Below are 23,273 nucleotides of genomic sequence, written 5' to 3'. Positions count from 1 at the left end.
GTGACACTTTCTGCTTACATTGCTTGGCCAGAGCAAGACACATGGTCCTGTTTAACTCCAAAGAGAAGTGCAGCCTTCCATGTCCCCACCCTGCCCCAAAAGAGGAGAATTGTATCAGAGTGAACAACACTAATGATTACCTGAAAGGTTTCATGATGAGGTGGTATTAGTGGTCTTTCTTTGTGGTTGTAACAAGCAGCCAGAGACGCATGGCAGCTAGGTCAGCTCCCTCTCTCACTCTCCTTCTACCCCCGTCCACCTCTCTCTCACCTTCCTTTGTTTCACAATGCAATGGACGCTTATCATGACACAACCCAACAACTAGAATATTATTATTAATCTACACCTACCTCTGTGTTCCTCTATGTCACTCCATCCCTCCCTTCTTCCTTAGTTGTTGCCATTATCTCAATTTGTGGTTAAGATCCTATTGCTTAAGCTACTTTTTAACAATCATGCACACACATCATGCAGATGCCCAAATAATATGTTTAATTTTTTGTTTTTAAACTATATAAAAATACTATCATATTGTATATTGTCTTCTGGTGCTTATTTTTTCCTATGACATTATGTAACTACTGTTCTCCTGTGCTGTCCCACATTCATTTTTGATGCTATTGAATTTACATTGTATGAATAGATCACATCTTGTTTTTCCACTCTCCCATTGCCATTTGTTTTGTCTCCAGTTTTTTTTCCAATAAAAAACAATGCTGTTATGCACATTGTCATATGTGTCTCCAGGTATATATGTGCTAAACTGTCTCTTATATGTAGGTATATAACTAGATGTCATATTGCTGGATCATTAGAGTTTATAAATATTTTACTTTACAAGATAACACCAATTTATTTCCACAGAATTGTACCAATTTACATTCCCATCAGCTGTATATAATTGATCCAATTGATCCATATGCCCTCAAATACTTGGTATTACCAGACTTCTTTATTTTTGCCCATTAAATTCTTGAACTCAGCCGCCCAAAATGTTAAGATTACAGGTGTGAGTCATCGCACCTGGCCAGAGGCAACTTCTTAGCAGGAGAGGGTATGCCAGAAAAACCCAGAGAGCTTCACATGAAAATCATGTAGGGAGGTCAGTTAGCACACGGATAGGGGAAGAAGAAGAGGAACTCTTAGAGAACAGGAAGCCAGTTTTAGGTTCTTCATCTTCTATAATCTCATATGTGAATGTGTGGGCCCATGCAACCTGTGTGGTAGGTTCAGTGACACATAGAATCAGGGAAACTCTCAGCACTGATGAGGATTCTACATGAGGGATAAACAGCAATGTGAAATAGAATAAAATAGCAATGTGATGTAGAATAAAATACTCCACAGTAAAGTTTTGTCATGTCAAAACAATTTCATGGTCAATTATGGATATTCAAACCACTAAAATAACAATTTGGTTGTAAGTTGTATTGGTCTGTTTTCACTCTGCTGATAAAGACAGACCCAAGACTGGGAAGAAAAAGAAGTTTAATTGGACTTACAGTTCCACATGGCCGGGGAGGCCTCACAATCATGGTGGGAGGTGAAAGGTACTTCTTACATGGTGGCAGCAAGAGAAAATGAGGAAGGAGCAAAGTGGAAACCCTGATAAACCTGTCAGATCTCGTGAGTCTTATTCACTATCACGAGACTAGCACAGGAAAGACCCTCCCCTATGATTCAGTTACCTCCCCCTGGGTCCCTCCCACAGCACGTGGGAATTCTGGGAGATACAATTCAAGTTGAGATTTTGGTGGGGACACAGCCAAACCATATCATAAGTTTATCTGATTACACCACTAAACTTTGATCACATTCATTTCTTTCTAGGTGTCAACGTAGCACAGAAAAATTAAAAGAGAACATTGGCTTGCACAAATGACTTTATCATTATAACCCCAATTTTGATTTTCTGTATTTGTAATTCACAAACTAGATAAAATTCACAAACTAGATGGTAGGGCACTTAGAAGTCATTATGTTTTTTTTTTTTTAATTGCAAAACACTTGGTCTACTAATATGTCAAACATAAAAATCTCAGAATATAATTTCATACTAAATCAGATTCTGATTTATACAATGTAATAAAAGATACAAATGTATAAGACAAATTTATATTTAATTATCTTTAAATAGGAGGCTAAATAGGAGGCTATTCTATGGTGCATTTCCCTTGCAATTTGGGAAAACTTTTTTGTACCTTTTTCACGTAGAAACATTTTGTTCCAACACAGGGAAGCAGAGATTGATTCCATTTCCCACACCACATTGCTAGTGTCAGAGAGATAGCCTGCGGTTCTCTGCATCGTCAGAGCTGTTTCTCACACTGAATCTGGGAATGGCAAATTTCTTGTTATGTTGAATTCTGAGATGAGTTAAGACATGGATTGCACTCTTTAGCCTTTGCTCCTGTGGATGTGGGTTCTCTGCGTTATCTGATGTCCCATAAATTGTTTTGAGAGGCTCTGTCTTCCATCTTCTTTATGAGACTGTTGCATCTCTTACCTTTAACCTGAACCTGAAAGTTATCACAGCCAATAAATAAACAATAACTGGCTACTTCTCTTCCAACAAGTGAAAGCCCACAGAAGATAAATGTACATAGAAGGGAAAGCGATTTTCTAGCCCTTCTGAGAAAAAGAGACAGAAAAAGAGATTGTGCTTATTAAAAGTGTCGTTATGGTTTCATTCAAACAGGAACACAGACAATATTCAGATGGTTAGAAATAAAGGCAATGAGTTCTCATTTAGTGTCTGGTGTTACAGAAGTTATTTATTGAATTCTTGCAAGATTGGTTGACTATACCTATAAGATCAGTTGGGCTCTTTGTGAATGGTTCATCTTTGACAACTTTAACAACTTCTTTCCAGTGGTGCAGTAAAGGATTAACCTTGTTCAAAGAGAGGCCCAACCTTTGCCCTTGGCTCCTGGGAGGTAATCTCTAAGCTTTGAAATGTCCTGCTTGATAAGAGTATCTTCATTACTGGGGACCTTGTTAGCATTGTCAATGCTTATAATGTGATTTATGGTGGGAGCTCTGACCACATAGCATCAACTCAATTTCTGGAGGGGCCAGAGACTATGGTCAGCCACATGGGTGGTCAGCCATGTCTATGTGAGCAAGTCCCAATAAAAATTCTGGACACCAAGACTTGGAAGAGCTTCCCTGCTTAACAATATTCTCTGTGTGTATTGTCACACATAGTTTCTGGGAGAAGTAGGCCCTGTCTGCACAGCTCCACTGGGAGAGGAGAACTGGAAGTGCTGTGACTGACTCCTTTGTTTGGGACTCTCCTGGACCTTGCCTTAGGTACCTCTTCCCTTGGCTCATTTTCATCTGTATTTTTTGCTTTAATAAACTCTAATATTACAGAAGTTATTTGTTGAATTCTTGCAAGATTGGTTGACTATACCTATAAGATCAGTTGGGTTCTTTGTGAAGGCTTGAGTAAAACATTTGTAAAACAGCTTTCAGTGAGTTTTGTGAGTCATTCTAGTTAATTATCAAACCTGAAGATGGTCTTGGGGACCTCAAACTTGCAATTTGTCTCAGAAATGGGTGGTCCTGGGGACTCATGAAATTTGTAGTTGGCATCAGAAGTGGGATTTACTGGAATGACCTTGACTCACCGAAGCTTGATGAAAGCATGGTTTGGGCAGGGGTTTATGAACCTTTGATTCCCAGATGGCCGCTAACCTTTAAATGCCCCTGTCTGAGTCCCCTGTCCCAGACTTATAAAGATCTCGTGAATATGTATGGGAAATGTAGCTAAGGGAGTCTCTGGTTTATATTGATTTTGTAGGTCTTGGGTCCTCGTGCTAAAGTGGCTGAGTTGCACAGAAGGACTCTCTGCACAAAAATTAGGAAGGGCAAGATAAAAACTCCACGAGGGCAGGGTCCATGGTGACTCAGCTAACCAGTCTATCTCAGGGGAAATAGAAATGTCTTCCTTAGAGAATTCATTCATTCCTTCAGCACTTGACAATCTACGAATCAACTCTGAAGAACCAGGCGCTGGGTGAGGCTTGGAAACACTAAGCTAAGGAGAGCATAGACTTTGTGTTGAAGAGCTCAGGGCTGGGGAGGTCAGTGTGTAGAACAAATGGCAGGTTGTTTTTTTTTTTTATTATTGTTGTTTGTTTGTTTGTTTTTGCTCTTGTTGCCCAAGCTGGAATGCAATGGCGTGATTTCGGCTCACTGCAACCTCCTTTTCCTGGGTTCAAATGATTCTCCTGCCTCAGCCTCCTAAGTAGCTGGGATTACAGGCATGCAACACCACACCTGGCTTATTTTTTGCATTTTTAGTAAAAACGGGGTTTCACCATGTTAGCCAGGTTGGTCTCAAACTCCTAACCTCAGGTAATCCACCCACCTAGGCCTCCCAAAGTGCTGGGATTACAGGTGTGAGTCACTGCGCCCAGCACCTTTTTTTTTTTTTTTTTTTTTGTGACAGAGTCTTGCTCTGTCTCCCAGGCTGGAGTGCAGAGGCACAATCTCAGCTCACTGCAACCTCTGCCTCCCAGGTTCAAAGGAGTCTCCTGCCTCAGCCTCCCGAGTAGCTGGGATTACAGGCACACACCACCACACCCGGCTAATTTTTGTATTTTTAGTAGAGATGAGGTTTCACCGTGTTGGCCAGGCTGATATCGAACCCCTGACCTCAAGTGATCCACCTGCCTTGGCCTCCCAAAGTGCTGGGATTATAGGCATGAGCCACTGCGATCAGCCTACAAATAGCAGATATTGTGTGATAGAGTTTGTCAGGGACCACAAGACAGACACACACTCAGTGGTACAGCTGCTCCGAGTTCTGTTTCCAGGGGATGATAGGTCATCCACATGCCTGGTGGGAAGGATGGAGCTGGTGTTGGGGTCAGGATTGGAGAGGCTGATTCCTAATTCACATTCATTAGTGGGTTCCAACAGCTGGATCTTGTTTTCCACCTGTCGTGTGAGGAAGTTTACCCTTCTTTGTTATATCATGTCTTGTGCACCACTTCTCAAGGTTAAGGACATGGCCAGATCAACTCTGAAGAAATTCCCCAGGGTTGAGGGCTGCCCCTTGGGAGCAGACAAAGGAGAGAAGAGATGATAACCATTAGACCCGCTGGAAAAAGCTATTCAGAGCTTAAAAAAATGAAAACAAAACCACAAAAACCTCATCTATGTCCAGTGTTTTTTGTGTGCATATTCTGGAGTATCATTTTTAATTTGATCCTGAAAACTGCCTTGTGAAGGTGGGGAGGATGTATTGTTGACCCTACAGGCTCAGACAGCAACAAGGCCAGAATCACATAGGTTGTAAGTTGCTGAATGGGAGCTGCAAGTCCAAGTCTTTGACTCTAAATCCAGCGCTCTGTCCAGAGCCCCGCTGCTGCCTCTGTTGGCAGCTGAAGCTGTCAGTCTGCTGCCCCCTGCCCAGTTCAGACAGGGTGGCTGGAAATGGACCAAAGGATGGAAAAAGAGAATAAGAGCGGACTTGAAGGGAACTGAAAGTATTTGTTAAGGGGAAAGCAGAAGGAAGAAAGAAAGAGGCATGAACCCTGGGGCCTGGCCTTGAAGCACAGTGTTCCAGGGGAGGGGGGATGCCGCTGTCCCCACCCCTCCATGGGGGCCTAAGCAGATCCAGAGCTGCCTGGCCTTCCTGGAGGGTGGCGTCCAAGCATGGATGGGAAGGCAGCAAAAATAGGCCCATGTCACTTCTGGGAGAAGACAAAAGAGGGAAGAGAGGACTACTATAGAAAAGTAGAAAAAGAGGAAGGGAGGGAATCTAGGCATACAGATCGGAAATGTGGAGCAAAACAAAATTTTTTTTTTTTTTTTTGAGACACAGTGTCGCTCTGTCACCTAGGCTGGAGTGCAGTGGCGTGATCTTGGCTTACCGCAACCTCCACCTCCTTTGCTCAAGTGATTCCCCTGCCTCAGCCTCCCAAGTAGCTTGGATTACAGGTGCACGCCACCCAGCCTGGCTAATTTCTCTATTTTTAGTAGAGGTGGGGATTCACCATATTGGCCAGGCTAGTCTCGATCTCCTGATCTCAAGTGATCTGCCTGCTTCAGTCTCCCAAAGTGTTGGGATTACAGGCGTGAGCCACTGTGCCCCGTGTGAAACAAATTCTTATGAAACAAATTTAATTTACATGTGCTTAAACTTTGGTGTCAACTTGCATGGAATCCCCAGGCTTGCTAGATTTTTCTAGTGCCTCCAGCCCTTAGGTCTCTTCCTATGTTCTCTCAGCTACTCCTCCTTTCCTTCAACACTGTTAGCCGCTTATCCAGGGCCCTACGTTTCAGCCCACTCCTCCTCCAGCCCCTCTCCACTCCACCTCCACAATGTCTGTTGGAATGGAACAGTTGGGGATACTGGCTGTTTGGCCCCCATGGGGGTCTCTCCATATAGGATTCAGAGAATTGGAAGACTTCTTGGGCTGAAGCAGAGAACGGGATGCAATTTTGAAACTGGCTTTGTGAGTCACTGTGAACTTCAAGCACCCTCCCACTTGAGGTAAGCTTCACCAGTTTGGCTTGTGGGAACTGTCAGACCAGCTCCAGGCGCTGGGGCTTTCTCAGTGGCCTTGTCAGCTCACAGCAGGCGTTAACAGCCTCTAATTGAGGAAACTGTGGCTGGACAGGTTGCAAGGCAGTTCTGCTCCCCATCGTCCTCTTGCTGACTGGGGACTGCTGAGCCCGTGCACGGCAGAGAGTCTGGTGGGGTGGAGGGGCTGGCCTGGCCCCTCTGTCCTGTGGAAATGCTGGGGCAAGTGGTCACCCTCATACTCCTCCTGCTCCTCAAGGTGTATCAGGGCAAAGGTAAGGAGGTCCTACCTGGCGTGGGGCGAGGGAGGGACTAGGAGCTGTGCCCCTCAGGGAGATCAGAGCCAGAGCCTCTGCTTGTGCCACATACACAGTCATCTGGAACTTGACTCCGAGCAGCTCCTGACAGCTCTGACAGTCTAAATCAGACAGGACAGGCTGGCAGTGCACTGGGAGGTCTGTGAGAGGGGTATCTGGCCCTGCCACCAGCAATCCAGGAAGTCTTGGGTGAGGAGATTCCTTCCCACTGGCTTCAATTTACCCTTCCGTGTAGTGGAGAGAGAAGCCTCCTTCCAGCCGCCTGTAAAGATGATGAAAATTGCATCCTCCAATTGTGGCATGAGAGAAGAGAAGCAGTCCCAAGGAAGTGGGTGGTTCTCGAGCTCAGAGACAGATGGATGGACCCCTGAGGCAGGAAAGCTGAGCCCAGGGAGGGGAGGGCGAGGCCAGCAGCCAGGAAGAAGCTGGAAGGCATGGTCCCTCATCTCCCCGGCTTCTTCAGCCATCCAGATGCCACAGGAGCCTGGAAATTATTAGGGACATGCAGGGTTGGGGCAGAAGAAGGAGACAATATGAGGAAGCTCCACAGCAAACCTAAAGCTGTCAGCCAGGCATGGAGCCATCTAACATTTACTCCTGGGGATCCCAGCTGAGGGCTGCTCCCCTCTTTCTCCAGTTCTGGGGTCCAGGATGCTCTGAAACCTGGATCCCGCATTTAATTTAATTGAATTAATTTATTTATTTCATTTTTAATTTTTATTTATTTATTTATTTTTTGAGACAGAGTCTCCTTCTGTCACCCAGGCTGGAGTGCAGTGGCGTGATCTTGGCTCACTACAAACTCTGCCTCCCGGGTTCAAGTGATTCTCATGCCTCAGCCTCCCGAGTAGGTGAAATTACAGACGTGCGCCACCATGCTTGGCTAATTTTTGTATTTTTAGTAGAGACCAGGTTTCACCATGTTGGCCAGGCTGGTCTTGAACTCCTGACCTCAGGTGATCTGCCCACCTTGGTCTCCCCCATCCAAAGTGCTGGGATTACAGGTGTGAGCCACCATGCCCAGCCAGGGTTCTGCATTTTAGATCAGTGACTCTGCAGGGGCTTCACGGAGGTGGAGAGCGTGGAATTAGAGGAGGGTACACTCTGGGCACAAAGAGGGGAAACTGAGGCATAGTGTTGTGTGGGTTCAGGGCCAGGTAGAAGCCCCATATGCAATAAAGTCCCATGCCCAGGTACTCAATTCAGTTACCGAGTCCCTGAGCATTCTTGTGTCCTTCAGGAAGACACAGTCAAGGCTCAGGTGGACTCAACATTTGTAAGGATGCAGGCAGCCTAGGGCAGAGCATGATGAGGAACAGGGAGCAGGGAGGGAGGAGTGGAGCCTGCAGCTCTTGTGGGTGGGTTGGGGGGCCTAGTGGCCCAGGATTCTAGGCAGGAGAGCTAGGTTGGAACCTGGTCTAAGGATCCTTGAATGCAGCTCAGACAGCCGAAGGAGGACTGATGGGATTGGTGCCTGGCTGTGGGGATGAGAGTAACAGAGAAGCTGAGGTTATGACCCTGAGGTCATGAGCCTGTGTGACAGAGGGCAATGCTCCCTCCACCCCCATTCCCAGGGCTTCAGCACCATAGCTGGGCTTGGCTATGCCGGCCCTTGCACGGTGAAGCTGGTGAGTGACTTGTTAGGCACAGGGAGGGATGGACTTGGGTCTTCCTGAGCTGCTTCCTCCTCCATCCTGTGTCTATAGGGCAGGCCTGGCATAAGTTGACTGAAGCTGCTCTATTTCTTTAATTTTTAAGCTTTTTAGTTTGAAATAATTGTGAAGTTCCAGGGAAGCTGCAAGAATAGTTCAAACGATTCTTGAATTTCTTTCATCTAGATTCACCAATTAACATTTTATCACATTTACTTTATTTCTCTTTCTCTAGCTGTATGTATATGTGTGTATAAATGTACAATAATTTTTGCTGAACCACTTGAGAACAAGTTGTGACATTATGTCCCCTTACTCCTAAATATTTTAGCACTTATATCCTATGAACAAAGACATTCTCATGTTACTACAGCACAATTGTCAAATTCAGTAAATTTAACATTAATACCATCAAATATGCTTTCCATATTCACATATTACCAATTGTCCCAAGAATATGCTTTATTTTTTTTTTTTGCTGACCCAAGATGCAATCAAGATCATGTATTACATTCAGTTGTTATGTTTCTCATGTTCAGTCTATGACCATACTTTAACCTTTCTTCATCTTTCATGATATTGCATTCTTGAAGAAGACAAGCCAGTTGTTTTGTAGAGGGTTCCTTAATCTGGGTTTGTCTGATGTTCCCTCATATGATTCAGGTTATCATATGCATTTTTATTTATTTTATATCATCATTATTATTATTTTTTAGAGATGGAGTCTCGCTCTGTGGCCTGGGCTGGAGTACAGTGGTCCAATCTCGGCTCACTGCAACTTCTGCTCCCCCGGGTTCAAGTGATTGTCCTGCCTCAGCCTCCCGAGTAGCTGGGACTACAGATGCATGCCACCAAGCCTGGCTAATTTTTGTATTTTTGGTGGAGACAGGGTTTCACCATGTTGGCCAGGCTGGTCTTAAACTCCTGACCTCAAGTGATCCACCCACCTCCGCCTCTCAAAAGTGCTGGGATACCAGGTGTGAGCCACTGTGCCCGGCCTATTATTATTTTTCAAGAGAGGATCTGGTTCTTTCACCCAGACTGGAGTGCAGTGGCATGCTCACGGCTCACTGTAGCCTCGACCTCGCAGGCTCAAGCCATCCTCCCACCTCAGCCTCCCTGGTAGCTGGAACTAGAGGTCTGTGCCACCATGCCTGGCTAATTTTTTTTTTTTTTTTTGTAGATACAGGGTTTCCCCATGTTGCCCAGGGTGGTCTTGAACTCCCGGGCTCAGGCGATCCACCTGCCTCAGTCTCCCAAAGTGGTGGGACTACAAGTGTGAGCCATCATGCCTAGCCATCATATGCATTTTTAAAATTATTTTTTCTTTAAAAAAATTTTTTTCTGTGCCCATTGACAGCAGATATTATATGCATTTTTGACAGGAATACCACAAAAGTGATACTGTGTCTTTTTCAGCGCATCCCATCAGGAGTCATATGATGACAGTGAAATTTAAAAAACCACTTTGTTTACTGAATAATTTAACAGGAGTACTATTTATGTAAGATGTGCATATAACTCTTGAGCATTGCGAAATTCTTCCAAAGACTTCTTCTTTCATGCAGAGTAAAAGCCATGCATTTTACAATGGTGCGTGACCTGGCGTCCAAGACCCACTCCTCTTTGTCTCTCCTCTTGCTCACAGCATTTCAGCCATGTTGCCTGCTGGTCCTGGACCTCGCTCTCTGTTGTATCCACAGTTTTCTCTGCCTGGGATGCTGCTCCTTTGCTGGCTACATGGCCTCTTCCCTCAACCCCTCAGAGTTTTGCTCAAATACCTCCTTTTCAGTGATGCCTTCCCCACTGAAAATGTCAGCCTGCCATTCTGCAAACTCTTAGCTCTCTCTCCACTTAATTTTTCTCCATAGTCCTCATCTCCATTTATGTTCCATCCTGTTTACTTATGTTTTTCATTTTCTGTCTCCCAGTCTCCTCTTCAGCCCCCTAGACTGTAAGATCCTTGAGGCCAGGGCTTTTGTCTGTTTTGCTCACCGTTGTCTCCTCAACATCTAGAGCAGTACCTGCCACAAGTCAACCCTCAGTAGATACTTATTTTCACAATAGCAGCCCCCTCTCTGTTCCCATTCTTTCTCTGGATATATTTTGAATAGCTCTGAACCAGGGCTATTGAGGATTCAGTGGCAAGTAAGTCCAGGGCCCGTTTGTTCAGAGAGCTTGCGCTAGATTGCCTGAGTCACTGTTACTACAGTTGTGATTAGTGCCTGGTGCAGTGCCAATGCAGTAGGTGTTCAAAACATGTTTGTTGAGTGAATAAGTGAATTATTTTCAGGCATCTTAACGGGCAGCCTGGGATGTTTTTTGGGTTAGACATATTGGGAAGGAGGGATCTTCAAATCATTGCCCAGGGAATAGGCCTGGGCCCTAAAATTCATTTTAGACCCAAAATTCAGGTTTCAGTTGTCCGTTCTGAGGAAACCCCAAAGGACACACAGGCTGGAGGCTATGAATCCCCAGATGCTTTACAGCCTGAGTTGAGATCTGCTGGACAATAAAAGGGCACAGGTGACACCTTATAGATTAGCTCCAAGGGTTGCCAGCTGTTTGCGTAGATTGTGTTGGAACTGTCACTTCTCAGGGAGTGGTGTCTAACTGCGACTGCTTTGGCTGGGATCCAGGCAAGCTGTAGAAGGGCTGGAGTCGTTTTTGCTCTTCTCTTCCTCATTGCACCTCCCCTCCAACAAAGGGTGAATGGCAAAGTAGCTGGACACAGAAAAGAGATTGGAATTCAATGTACCCTGGGCTACAGCACCATCCAGAAAGGAATCCACTGAAATCACTTCAAGGAGAGACAGGGCATGTCTTGTTTTTTTTTTTAATTTTTTATTTTTATTTATTTATTTTTATTTTTTTGTGAGACAGGGTCTTGCTCTATCACCCAGGCTGGAGTGCAGTGATGTGATCACAGCTCACTGTAGCCTTGACCTCCTGGGCTCAAGCAATCCTTCTGCCTCAGCCTCCTTAGTAGCTGGGACTACAGGCATGTATCACCACACTTGGCTTATTTTTAATTTTTGTGTAGAGATGGGGTTTTGCTATGCTGCCTGGGCTGGTCTTGACCTCCTGGGCTCAAGCAATCCTCTTGCCTTGGCCTCCCAAATTACTGGGATTACAGATGTGGGCCACTGTGCCCAGCCAGGCCATTGTCTTCACAGACAAACCTCTCTTATTGAAGTGCAACATACAGAAAAGTACACAAAATTACAAATGTACATCTCAATGAGCTATTGTTAAATGAACACACTCTTGTGTCTACCACATGTTCTCTCCCATTCATTACTTCCTCTGTCTTCCATAAATATAGCCACAATTCTGACTTCTAACATCACAGATTTGTTTTGTCCGTATATATGGAATCAAACGGTATGCACTCTTGTGTCTGACTACTTTTGCTCAACATCTTATGAGATTTATGTATGTTATTATTTGTAGCAGATCATTTTCATGGCTGTATAGTATTTTATCGCATGACTATATCATAGTTTATTCACCTTTTCTATTATTGATGAACCTTTGGGTTGCTTTCAATTTTGTTTTTGCTATTATAATAATGCTGTGATGAGCCTTTTGTGCATGCATGTCTGTTGGGTATATCTCTAGGGGCAGAACCATGGAGTATGTGTACGTAACTCTAGCAGATGCTGTCAAACTGTTTTCCAAAGTGGTTGAACCAAATAGTGCATGAGAGTTCCATGCTGCTTTGGGGCCACTGGCTTTTGGTTCTGAAGGTCTGCAGATGGAAAATTAAATTGTGGAAATGTGGAGCTTGGCAAGAGGCCAAAGGCAAGGGAATTACAGCTCTGTGATTTCTCTGGTATCCTGCATGAAATTCTGACAATAGAGTCATTTTTAGGAGTTATGTGAGATGCATTGTTGAATTAATTAATTTAAACGGATTCATGAAGCCCTTGCTTGGGTTGTTCATTTTGCTGTTGTGACGTTTGAATTTCTTGTCTATTCTGCATATTAGTTGCCTGTAGGATTCATAGTTTGCAATTTTTTTTCCTATTCTATTGGTTGCCTTTTCACTCTGTGAATTGTTTCCTTTACTGTACATGATTTTTTTTTAGTTTGCTGTAATACCATTTGTTTATTTTGCTTCTGTTGCCTGTGCTTTTGAGGTCTTATTCATAAACTCTTTCCCCAGCCCTTATTATGCTCCAAGAACTATGCAAGGTTTTGTGGGGGAAACAAAGATGAAACAGATGTCTATTCTACCCTTAAGAATCTTTCAGACAGAGGAAAATGGGTATGTATAATTACAACTATAAGGGAAGATGGAAATGCTATGTGTCATTAACAGGCAAGATACATTTAGAATAAAAAAGGAGCTAAGAAGATGAAGATTCCTTCTAGGTAGGAACACTGGGGAACTGGCCTTGAAGAATAAATAAGAGTTTAGGAGGTAGGTACAAAGTAGAAGGACAATTGAAGCAGAGGAAACAGCTCAGAAAAGCCAGGGTTGCATGGGGTTTGGATGGGAAACAGGAAAGGGAGATGCACTTGTTATCATGGAGAAACAATATCACATATGAGATGATTTGGTTAACTGATGCAAAGAGTGGGACTTGGGCTAGGTGAGTTTTGACAGAGGTAAGGGAGTTGCATTGCCTGAGGAAGAGAGTTAATATGGTCAGTATGAAGCTAAATAGAGAGGAAGAAAGAAATGGGATGTGGGCCCTATAGGATACTTTATCTATCTTATGATTTTGCCCTGACTAGAGCTGGATTGCCCCAGTACTTTTGGAATCTCACTGGACTCTGTTCACTTAGTCCCCAGCAGGTACATCTTTTGATGCCTTCACCCCAAGCCTGGTAGCACAAGCCCTAGCTGAGAAAACCTTAACATCTATTTGTTGGCTGGTGGAAATTCCACTTGCTCTGAGACCCTCCCGTGCTCCTTCTCCCAGGTGCTCAGGCCCCACACCTTCCTCCGACTGGCAGGTCCAGGTTGGAGGAAGCTGAGCTGACTCAGAGCTCTGCACATGGGCTCAGGGCTGAGCGGGACTCACTGCTGGATCAGATTGTCTCCTTCACCATCCTCTGTACTTGTCTCCTTGACCATCCTCTGTTCTTCCTGAGGCTGCAGTGGAGTTAATCATCTGCCCTCTGCCCTCCCTTTCAGAGTTACTAGTTCACCTCATCCGTTCTTAACCACAGGAAGGTGGCCCCCAAAGCTGCTGAGCAGTAGCAACAGCAGTGGCAGGGGCCCGGGGGCCTTCCTGGACTGTGGCCTCTTTCCTCTAAACAATTTTCACTTGTTGGGTCCTCCTCTATGCCTCACTAAATGTGTGAGAACTTGTGTTGAAGTTATGTTTTCGTAGTAGCATTTCATCTCCCCTATCTGGTGTGTGTACCCCTCTGGGACAGAAACTGAGGTCTTTCTGTATCAGTCACAATACCCTGGACATAGTGACTTGTCTACTTGCCTTTTCACCGTATCTGCTTTGCACCCCTGCCCTGGCACCCACCCCTTCCAGGCCGTCCATGGAAACTCATTCCAACCATCTTCCTCCTTCCCACACTGGACTGTTGGGGGCTGCAGGAGAAAATTCAGCAACAAAGAGCAGCTACAGATTCGTAATCTCCAACCCCAGCTGGACTCTCAGTGTCCTGGGAATCCTCATTTCTGGCCCACAGCTTCTCCTGTTCCCCAAAAGGTGGGAGAATTCCACACCTTCGTCATCTCTTTCAAGGCCCTGTTCCACTATCTCAGCCTCCACAAACCAACAACCTCCTTCTTTAAGAAAACAGAAGCACAAGTTAGGGATTCCACCAACCTTGCCAACAAGTCTCCAGTGTCAATGTACTTCATCTACTCCTGTAAATGGCCACATTTGCCTCTGCTGAGGGCAAGAGTGTTCTTGCCCTGTCCTTGACCAATACTCCCCTGTGTGCTCAGGGCACCAGAGCTTCTTTCAGAAGTCACCTGGGACCTGCTGTCTGTGAAGACATCCCTCATCTTTCTTCAGCTGCTCCTTTTCTGTGGGCTTCCTACCTTTAGTACAGTTTCCTTCCAGTTGAAAAATCAAAACAACACCTGGTGTTCTCTCTAGCTCCTTTTTATTTGCAGACAAACCAGTCTTAAATGTATAAACTAATATAATATTACATAAAAATAAAATATAACGGCCTAATTTTTAAAAAGACCCCAAAGGCAGTATAGCATGAGGACTGTAGATCACACATTTCATTCTTTAAGTATTTAGAAGTCTATGGCTGGGAGTGGTGGCTCACGCCAGAACTTTGGGAGGCTGAGACGGGTGGATTACTTGAGGTCAGGAGTTCAAGACCAGCCTGGCCAATATGGCGAAACCCTGTCTCTACTAAAAATACAAAAAAAAAAAAAAGAATAGCTGGGGGTGGTGGCAGGCACCTGTAGTCCCAGTTACTCATGAGGCTGAGACAGGAGAATCACTTGAACCTGGGAGGCAGAGATTGCAGTGAGCCGAGATCATGCCACTGCACACCAGTCTGGGTGACAGAGCGAGACTCTGTCTTAAAACAAACAAACAAACAAAGAAGTCTAGACAATAACTTAACCATTTTCCTGTGTGATTCCTATTCAGTTTTATAATAGCAGAGAACAACCTTCTTCTACATAGCGCTCTACATTCTGATCTACTGGTGGATTATATGGGAGTTTACGTTATTTTTCATTACACCGTATATTTATATTTAAGTACCTTTTAATACTTGTGCTACCTCTCACAATTTTATAAAAGATAAAAATAAAGTGAAACCACCACTAAACACCTGAAAATTAAACTCATGTTCCATCACCCCATTCTCCAAACCTGCTCCATCTTTACCAGACCCATAAGCCACACGTGTGTTTTGTGTTCCCTTAACCATGCTACTGCTGGGTCCATAATACCCACCTTCCCTGTTCCTTTCTGCATACACCAGGCAGGCCTTGGCTTTTTCTTTCAATGGCAGCTCCCACCCACCGCCTCTGGGCAGCCACTCCTAACTCTGCAGGGCAGAGGAAAACATGCTTTCCTTATGCTTGCCTCACACCCTGGGCACACCTCCATAGCACATTCCATATTGCATTTCAGTTGGCTGTTTTAGGTCTATCTTCCTTTTTCACTTTTTTTTTTTTTTTTTTTTTTTTTTAGGCAGGGTCTTGCTCTGTCACCCAGGCTGGGGTGCAGTGGTGCAGTCATGGCTCACTGCAACCCCTGCCTCCCAGGCTTTTCTGATATTTAGCTAAGAGTTGGGTTTAGCTGAGATGAGTGAGGAAATCTACAAATTCACTTGCTATGGTAATGTTTCCACAATGGGCAAGTCATATTTTGCTTTTATCAAAGTACATCTTAGTTAATAGTCAGAACAGTTGAGTGAGAGGTAGTCATTACTCTTTTTCTGCTTTTTTACCAAGATACAACTCACAGCTGTGTGCACAAAATTTAAATCAACAGCTTGATGAACTTTTATATGTGTAAGTACATATCAAAACTACCCACATCAAGATGTAACACATTTCTAGCACCCAGTCATTCCTTTTTGGCCCTTCAAGTTGATAACCCCCCTCCTGCAAGGGTAATCACATTCTAACCTCTCTCACCATATATTAGTTTTTCCAGATTTTAAACTTTATATCAGTGAAATAATTCACTATGTACTTTTTGGAGTCTAGCTTCATTAATACTCATCATTGTGGTGAGATCCATCCACATTATTGCCAGGAAAAGTAGCTTTTCTTTTTCATTGCTGTGTAATATTCCTTATAAGACTATAACACGATTTATTTGCTCATCTAATCGTGATAGACATTTGGGTTTTTTCTCATTTTGAGTTATTATGACTAAAGCCATTATTAACACTCTTGTACATATTTTTAGTGGATATAAACACCAGATTTTCTTTTTTTTTGAGACGGAGTTTCACTCTTGTTGCCCAGGCTGGAGTGCAATGGCATGATCTTGGCTCACTGCAACCTCCGCCTCTCAGATTTAAGTGATTCTCCTGCTTCAGTCTTCCAAGTAGCTGGGATTACAGGTGTGCACTGCCACGCCCAGCTAATTTTTTTTCTTTTTTTTGAGATGGGGTTTCACCATGTTGGCCAGGCTGGTCTCAAACTCCTGACCTCAGGTGATCCGCCTGCCTCGACCTCCCAAAGTGCTGGGATTACAGGCATGAGCCACCATGCCTGGCCCAGATTTTCTTGTGTACAAATTCTTCTGGATCAAAGGGTATATGTAAGTTTAGTTTTAGAAGATACCGTAAAATAGTTTTCCAAAGTGCTGGTACCAATTTACACTCTCACTAGCAATAAATGAGAATCTCAGTTGCTCCCATCTCTGTCAACCCTTGGAATTTTCACATTTATTTATTTACATTTATTTTCGAGACCAAGTCTCAGTCTGTCACCCAGGCTGGAGTACAGTGGCGTGATCTTGGCTCACTGCAACCTCTGCCTCCTGGGTTCAAGCAATTCTCCTGCCTCAGACTCCCAAGAAGCTGGTATTACAGGCGCCACCACCGTGCTCTGCTAATTTTTGCATTTTTAGTAGAGATGGGGTTTCACCATGTTGGCCAGGCTGGCCTCGAACTCCTGGCCTCAAGCGATCCACCCGCCTCGGCCTCCCAAAGTGCTGGGATTACAGGCTTGAGCCGCTTCGCCCAGCCTTCAGACCTTTAAATGTTAGCTATTTTGGTGGGAATGTGAAATCTCATTATTCTCTGATAACTAATGTTGTTGGGCACCCTTATGCATGCCTATTGGCTATTGGATATTCTCTTTCCTAAAGTGCCTGCCCAAGTCTGTTGCTTTTTTTGTCATTATTGTCATCAGTGTATTATTGATTTCCAGTCTATTATTGTCATCAGTCTATTATTGATGGAATTCTTTATATACTCTGGATATGAGCCCTTTTTCAAATGTATGTATTGCAAACATTTTCTCCCAGTCTTTGGCTTGCTTTTTCACTCTCTCAATGTTGTCTTTCACCAAACAGAAGTTCTAAGTTTTAGTGAAGTCCAATTTATCAATATTCTTTTATGGTTAGTGATTTATTTTTGTGTGTGTGTGTCCTGTTAAAGAAACATTTGTTGTCTGGGTGCAGTGGCTCATGCCTGTAATCTCAGCGCTTTGGGAGGCCAAGGCGGGTGGATCACTTGAGCCCAGGAGTTCAAGACAAGCCTTGGCAACATGGTGAAACTCTATCTCTACCAAAAATGCAAAAATTAGCCAGTCTCATAATCTGGTCTCAAAATAAACATAAAAATAGATTAAAATGTAAAAATAAAAAAGGAAACATTTGTCTATCTCAAGATGTAGAAGATATTCTCTTGTGCTTTTTCCTGGAAGCTTTATAGGTTTAGCTTTCATATTTAAATTTATGATTTGTTTTAAATTAATTTTTGTATATGATATGAGGGAGATATCAAGGTTTTTTTTCCTTATAGATATCAATTTGACCAAGCACCATTTATTGAAAAGATCAAGTATGTGTTGGTTTGTGTGATATTGTGAAATATATATTTGGTTTTCAACCTCCTTTCCTGGCATACAATTCCTAAAATTTTTAGAAATTCCGAAGTGATGTCTTTTTGTAGGCTAATGAGGTGACCGATGGCTGGCAGCCTGTAGGCAGCTTCGGGATAGGGGCCGGTCACCAGAAAGACCAAGGCAGGGTTGGAATATTGGACTCTGAGCCCGTCCCCAACCTTCAGGAAAAGGAGAGGGATTGAAGGTTAAGTTGATCACCGATGGCCAGTGGTCAATCATTCCCATTTATTGAGGCCTCCATAAAAACCCAAAGAACAAGGTTCAGAGAGCTAAACATGCGGAGGTTCCTGGAGGGTGGCACGCCCTGGGAAGGCATGGAAACTCTGTATCCCTTCCCCTACACCTTGTCCTATGCATCTCTTCATAGGTACCCTTTGTAATAACCTTTATAATAATCCAGTGAATGTGTTTCCCTGAGTTCTGTGAGCCATCTAGCAAATTAATTGAACCCAAGGAGGGAATAACGGGAAACCCAGTTTATAGCTAGTTGGTCAGAAGCGCAGGTAAAACAATCTGGAGCTTGCAGTTGGCATCTGGTGGATATCTACAGGTAGATAGTGTCAGAATTGAACTGAATTAGAGGACATCCAGTTGGTGTCCACTGAAGAGCTGATTGCTTGCTTGGCACGTGGGAAACTCCCCACACGTTGGTCACAGAAGTCTTCTGTGTTGATTGTTGTGGTGTGAAACCAGAGGAAAAACAGTTAGTGTTTTTCCCACACACAGGGTCTATTTCTAGACTATTATATTCCATCGACTACTTTTCAATCCTTGCAATACTGGAATGCTATCTTAATTTCTGAAGTTTTACAATATATCTTGATATTAGGTAGTGAAAACCTTCTAGCTTTGTTCTTCATCAAGATTGCCTTGGCTATTCTATGTCTTTTACATTTTCATATAAGTTTTAGAATCAACTTGTTAATTTCTATAAAAATAACCTGCAATAATTTTTATTGGAATTCTATTGAATCTATAAATTAATTTAGGAAGAATTGACATCTTAGCAATATTAAGTCTTCCAATAAAAACCATGGTATAGTCTCCTGTTTATTTAGCTCTTTAATTTTTTCTCAGCAATCTTTTGTTGCAATAGGTGTATAGGTCTTAAATATTTCTTCTTGAAATTATTTCTATATATTTTATCTTTTTTGTGCTGCTGTAAATAGTATTGTTTTCAAAATTTCATTTTTATCTGTTTGTACTAATATATAGAAATAAAAATGATTTTTGTATATTGACCTTATATCTAGCAATTTTGCAAAACTGACTTCTACACTCAAATAATTTTTCATATAGTCCTCTTGGTTTCCTATATACACAGGTATATAGTTTGTGAATAATGACAGTTTCACATATTCATTTTTTTTTTGAGATGGAGTTTTGCTCTTGTTGCCCAGGCTGGAGTGCAATGGTGCCATCTTGGCTCACTGCAGCCTCCGCTTCCCGGGTTCAAGTGATTCTCCTGCCTCAGCCTCCCGAGTAGCTGGGATTTCAGGTGACTGCCACCCGCCTGGCTAATTTTTGTATTTTTAGTAGAGATGGAGTTTCACTGTGTTGGCCAGGCTGGTCTCGAACTCCTGACCTCAGGTGAGCTGCCCAAAGTGCTGGGATTACAGGCGTGAGCCACTGCGCCCAGCCTCACATATTCATTTCTAATTTTTATTCCCTTTGACTATTTTCCTTGTTTTGTTGAACTAGCCATGACCTCCAGTACAATGTTGATTAAAAGAGGTAATTATGGAATCCTTTTTCTGTTCCTGAGTTTGCAGGGACATGGATGAAGCTGGAAGCCATCGTTCTCAGCAAACTAACACAGGAACAGAAAACCAAACACCACGTGTTCTCACTCAAAGTGGGAGTTGAACAATGAGAACATATGGGCACAGGGACGGGAATATCACACACCAGGGCCTGTTAGTGGGTGAGGGGCAAGGGGAGGGAGGCATTAGGACAAATACCTAATGCATGTGGGGCTTAAAACCTAGATGATGGGTTGATAGGTGCAGCAAACCACCATGGCACACGTATACCTACGTAACAAATCTGCATGTTCTGCATACGTATCCCAGAACTTAAAGTAAAACAAAAAAAAAAAAAAGAAAGAGATGGGTACAAATGTGAATGTTTGTTGTTTTGAACAAACCTCTCCAACCATGTTTTTCCTCTGCTCCCACATCAAAATAATAACAATCATCAACATAGAAGACTTCTGTGACCAAATGCAGGGAGGTGGATTTCTCCTCACAGCAAACTGAATAATGTATTCTGCAGTGGACACCAGCTGGGTGTTCTCCAATTCAGTTCAGACACTAACTGGAGAGAGTGTCAGACCACAGAGGCTGGGGGCTCAGTCCCCAACACCACCCCTCCACCACACCAGTTCTAAGTCTGGGCCTCCAGAACTTCGGACCAACCAGCTTCCAGTTGGGGTTCTCACAACCCCCTCCTTGGGTTCAATTAATTTGCTGGAGTGGCTCACATAAACCAGGGAAACATTTATGTTTGCTGGTCTATTATAAGAGATATTACAAAGGATACAGATGAAGAGATGGCATAGGGCAAGGTATGGGGGAAGGGACACGAAGCTTCCATGCCTTCCCTGGGCACACTGCATGCCAGGAATCTCCAGCTATCTGGAGGCTCTCCAAGCCCAGTCCTCTTGGGTTTTTATGGAGACTTCACTTCATAGGCATGACCAACAACCTTGTAGAAATGTGACTGGATGAAAAGGGTATGATTCCATACTAACAGGCTGAGTGGAGAAACCCAGCAAGGCCTGTCTGTTCAGATTCTTCTTGGTCTCTCTGTGTAGCATTTCTTTCTCTAGAATCTGAGGCAGGAACTTCTCTGAAATGAGGGTCTTTTGATTTATATCAGATTAGAGTTGTCTACACTCAGCAATGGTGATCTTCTTGCTGGTCTTGCCATTCCTGGACCCAAAGGGCTCCATGCTGTCTGCAATATTCATGCCCCCTTTCAACTTGCCAAATACCACACGCTTGCCATCCATCCATTCAGTCTCGGCAATGTAGATGAAAAACTGGGAACTATTTGTGTTGGGTCCAGCATTTGCCATGGACAAGATGCCAAGACCTGTATGCTTCAGGATGAAGTTCTCACCATCAAATTTCACCCCATAGATGAACTTGCCACCAGTGCCATTATGGTGTGTGATGTCAACATCCTGGCACATAAATTCTGCAATAATCCTGTGAGAGCAGGAGCTCTTGTAACCAAATCATTTCTCTCTAGTGCTCAGAACACAAATGTTTTCTGCTGTCTTTGGAACTTTATGTGCAAACAGCTCCAAGGAGACACGGTCCAAGGGTTCATGGTCAACTGCTATATTAATGAACATGGTGGGGTTGACTACGGTTGATAGCAAGAGACTCTAGGTGGTGAAGGCACCTCCAAAGCACCAGGTATATACATTTTAACACTTTTATTTAATGAATTTACTTTTGGCTTTGCTAATTTTCTCTATTGTGTATTTGCTTTTTATTTTATTGAAGTTAGCTCTTACATTTACTTTCTCCTTTCTCCTTTCTCTGGATTATCATCATCATCATCATTATTTGAATTACTATTTCTTTTTCTTTGGTTTCTTGAGATTGAATCTTGCATTATTGACTTGCAAACTTTCTTTCTTTTCCAATATACAAATTTAAAGCTATAAATTTCCCTCTAAACACTGCCTTAGCTATATTGCACATTTGATACTCATTATCACTTTGCTCTAAATATTTCCCAAATTTCATTTGATTTATTCTTTGACTCATGGGTTTTTAGAAATATGTTTCTTATGTTTTAAACATTCAGAGATTTTCTGGTTATTTTTCTGTTATTGATTTTTTGTTTAATTCTACTGTGCTTAGAGGGCATAATTGGTATGATTTCAATACTTTGAACTTTGTTGACACTTGTTTTAATGCACAGCATATGATAATACTTTGGTAACTATTGCATGTGCACTTGAAAAGAATATGTATTCTGCAATTGTTAGGAGAATTGTTTTATATATAATTTATATATATATTGGTTTAATGATCTTCAAATTCTTATAGCCTTATTGATTTTTTTGTGTGCTTCTTGTAGCAGCTAGAGAGACAGATGTAATAAAACTCTCCAACTATAGTTGTGGATTTACTTCTCCTTTTAGTTCTATCAAATTTTATTTTATATATTTTAAACTTGTTATATGCATAGAAACTGAAGATGATTGTTTATTCCTACTTAATTGGTTCTTTTATAATGATGACATTTCCTTCTATTTCTGTATATTTTTTATACATCTTATGTCTTTTTTTGTTCATTTTCTCCGTTATTGCCTTCTTTTGTATTTAATTGATATTTTTGTGCTGCATCTTTTTGATTCCCTTCTCATTTCTTTTTCTGTACATTTTGTTATTTTCTCAATGGTTACCACAGGTATTACAATGAATACCTCCAACAATATAGTTTGAATTGATGCCAATTCAGCCTCAATACTATAGAAAACTCCTATACAGCTCTATCCCCCCACTTTTATTGTCACAAATTACATCTGTTTCTATTGTTTTTCACTTCTTGTGCCTGAGTTTCCATTTTCTTTATATCTAAAGAACATCCTTTGGTATTTCCTTTACTGCAGGCCTTTTTGTGACAAATTCTTTCCGTTTTTAATTTTTTCTAAAAATGTCTTTATTTCAGCTTCATTTAAAAAATTATTACTATTTTTTGAGACAGTCTCACTTTGTCACCCAGGCAGGAGGGGAGTGGCACCATCTTGGCTCGCTGCAGCCTTGACTTCCTGGGTTCAAGTGATTCTCGTGCCTCAGCCTCCTGAGTAGCCGGGATTATGGGCGCGTGCCACCACGCTCAGCTAACTTTTGTATTTTTAGTCGAGATGGGGTTTGCCATGTTGGCCAGCCTGGTCTCCAACTCCCGACCTCAACTGATTCACCTGCTTCAGCCTCCCAAAGTGCGGGGATTACAGGCATGAGCCACTGCATCTGCTTTCATCTTTGAAGTACCGAAATTCTAGATAGGCAGTTATTTTCTTTCAGCACTTTAAATATATCATTCCTTGGAAAACCAAACAACGTATGTTCTCACTGATACGTGGGAGTTAAGCTACGAGGATGCAAAGGCATAAGAATGATACAGTGGACTTTGGTGACTTGGGAGGAAAAGTGGGAGGGGAGTGAGGGATAAAAGACTATAAATAGAGTGCAGTGTATACTGCT

At 42.9% G+C, this 23,273-nt stretch overlaps 1 protein-coding gene and 1 pseudogene across 7 annotated transcripts in view, besides 2 other annotated features; one reads left to right on the top strand and one right to left on the bottom strand.

Annotated features, from left to right (window-relative positions):
• CD244 (CD244 molecule) overlaps nucleotides 6,543–23,273 on the top strand; it is a 32,728-nt gene continuing 15,997 nt past the window's right edge. For all 7 annotated transcript variants that reach the window (XM_011509623.4, NM_001166664.2, NM_016382.4 and 4 more), the window contains exon 1: nucleotides 6,543–6,813. In XM_011509623.4, coding sequence (XP_011507925.1) covers nucleotides 6,753–6,813 — 61 coding nt within the window. In that variant the 5' untranslated portion in view covers nucleotides 6,543–6,752. The remainder of the gene's footprint in view (nucleotides 6,814–23,273) is intronic.
• Nucleotides 6,678–6,727: an enhancer, noted in NCBI's record as "active region_1964". NCBI's record gives its function as "activates an Ori minimal core promoter by ATAC-STARR-seq in GM12878 lymphoblastoid cells {active_cell/tissue: GM12878}" and the evidence as "EXISTENCE:reporter gene assay evidence [ECO:0000049][PMID:35858748]".
• Nucleotides 13,993–14,042: an enhancer, noted in NCBI's record as "active region_1963". NCBI's record gives its function as "activates an Ori minimal core promoter by ATAC-STARR-seq in GM12878 lymphoblastoid cells {active_cell/tissue: GM12878}" and the evidence as "EXISTENCE:reporter gene assay evidence [ECO:0000049][PMID:35858748]".
• PPIAP37 (peptidylprolyl isomerase A pseudogene 37) lies at nucleotides 20,928–21,420 on the bottom strand (annotated as a pseudogene).

Source organism: Homo sapiens, chromosome 1 (assembly GCF_000001405.40).
Source record: "Homo sapiens chromosome 1, GRCh38.p14 Primary Assembly".
Classification (NCBI taxonomy): domain Eukaryota; kingdom Metazoa; phylum Chordata; class Mammalia; order Primates; family Hominidae; genus Homo; species Homo sapiens.
The sequence above is the reverse complement of the archived record's forward strand: the minus strand, read 5'-3'. Positions and strand labels throughout refer to the sequence as shown.